The sequence below is a fragment of the Homo sapiens genome, chromosome 5, assembly GCF_000001405.40.
Source record: "Homo sapiens chromosome 5, GRCh38.p14 Primary Assembly".
NCBI lineage: Eukaryota > Metazoa > Chordata > Mammalia > Primates > Hominidae > Homo > Homo sapiens.
In genome coordinates, this window is record NC_000005.10 from 104,069,266 (window position 1) to 104,071,230 (window position 1,965).

At 43.6% G+C, this 1,965-nt stretch overlaps 1 annotated feature.

Annotated features, from left to right (window-relative positions):
• Positions 432–1,346: an enhancer, noted in NCBI's record as "OCT4-NANOG-H3K27ac hESC enhancer chr5:103405398-103406312 (GRCh37/hg19 assembly coordinates)". NCBI's record gives its function as "activates a minimal SCP1, AML or CMV promoter by ChIP-STARR-seq in naive and primed H9 embryonic stem cells {active_cell/tissue: H9 hESC(naive and primed)}" and the evidence as "EXISTENCE:reporter gene assay evidence [ECO:0000049][PMID:30033119]".

Sequence of the window (1,965 nt, forward strand, 5' to 3'; positions counted from 1 at the left end):
TACGGAAATAAGGGATTGGGGCACAGAGATAAGAGGTTGGGGCATGGAAATAAGGGATTGGGGCACAGAGATAAGAGGTTGGGGCACAGAAATAAGGGATTGGGAGTTCTTGCCCTCGAAAAGAGGGACTTGCCACTAAGGGTGAAGGAGAAGGGGTTGAGGGGTACTTGCCCCTCTCCCAGAAAAGTGGGACTTGCCACTAACGGTGAAGGAGAAGGGGTTGAGGGGTACTTGCCCCTCTCCCAGAAAAGCAGAGAAGGGGTAGAGATAAGGAGAGAAGGGGTTGAGGTACTTGCCCCTTCCCCAGAAAAGCGGGACTTGCCGCTAAGGGTGAAGGACCAAGGCAGGCATCCCTGCATGGTCTGACACCCTTAAAACGTGGGTGTATAATCAGAGAGGCATCCCTGAAATGATTAAACACCAAGGGAAGGCTGCCTTCCCAGTCCGTGACCTGCGCCGGAGTTTTGGGTCCACAGATAAAACGTGTCTCCTTTGTCTCTCCCAGAAAATGAAAGGAATTGAAATTAAGAGAAGGGAGAGATTGAAGAGTGGAAAGGAGAAAGTGGTTGAGGGACAGTGAGACAGGTTGGAGAAGAGAGTGAGAAGAGGCCGCTTACCTGATTTAAAATTGGTGAGATGTTCCTTGGGCTGGTTGGTCTGAGGACCTGAGGTCATAGGTGGATCTTTCTCACGGAGCAAAGAACAGGAGTACAGGGGATTGATCTCCCAAGGGAGGTCCCCCGATCTGAGTCACGGCACCAAATTTCATGCGCGTCCCTGTGAAGAGACCACCAAACAGGCTTTGTGTGAGCAACATGGCTGTTTATTTCACCTGGGTGCAGGCGGGCTGAGTCTGAAAAGAGAGTCAGCGAAGGCAGATAAGGGTGGGGCCGTTTTATAGGATTTGGGTAGGTAAAGGAAAATTACAGTCAAAGGGGGTTTGTTCTCTGGCGGGCAGGAGTGGGGGTCGCAAGGTGCTCAGTGGGGGTGCTTTTTGAGCCAGGATGAGCCAGGAAAAGGACTTTCACAAGGTAATGTCATCACTTAAGGCAATGACTGGCCATTTACACTTCTTTTGTGGTGGAACGTCATCAGTTAAGGTGGGGCAGGGCATTTTCACTTCTTTTGTGATTCTTCAGTTACTTTAGGCCATCTGGGCATATACATGCAAGTCACAGGGGATGCGATGGCTTGGCTTGGGCTCAGAGGCCTGACAATATGTTTCCTCTAAAATGAATCTTATTTCCCATTTTTAAGCTATAACCACCCTGCTGTCAAAAATGCTAAAATCAATTTGTTTATATTTCTTCATTTTTTCTAATTTTCCCCTTCACCCTTCTCCCCTAAATTTTATTTTCCAATTTTGCTATAGTCTCATTTCTATATCACCAGAATCTATAACATAAATATTCTCTCAATAATTATATTTCCCATAATTTCTTAACATAATTGAATATAGTTTTCTGTTTTTAGGTTTTTGACACTCATTACCAGGTATTTCGACATAGCTTTTTCATTACTTTCCTGATTAAATCAACTTCATCATCTTAAGTTTTTCTAAGAAGGACTCTTGAGGTACATTGTTATTTTTTGCTTGCCTAGTGTATCATATTTTAAAATTTTAGTAATATACTTGCCTACATGAAATCAACCTCTCCTAGTCTTAGTACTTATGGCTTCGATGAGGCTGGCTTTAACATCTAGCAGCAAGAACGACCCAAATATAACCAAATAGGTGATCCCATCTAATTGGCCACAGCAATTGACTCAATCTTTATCAAGATAGAATAGTGAGATTTAGTGTTTGAATATTTACTGAAATCAAGGGAACAAAGTGCTGTCTTTGAAGACATTTTCAGTAATAAATCTGTACTCATCATTGCCAATAGAAGAGGTATTCTAAGAATAAAGACAATATAGAGGAAAGCAAAGTTTGCACATAAAAACAAGGCTGGGCACGGTGGC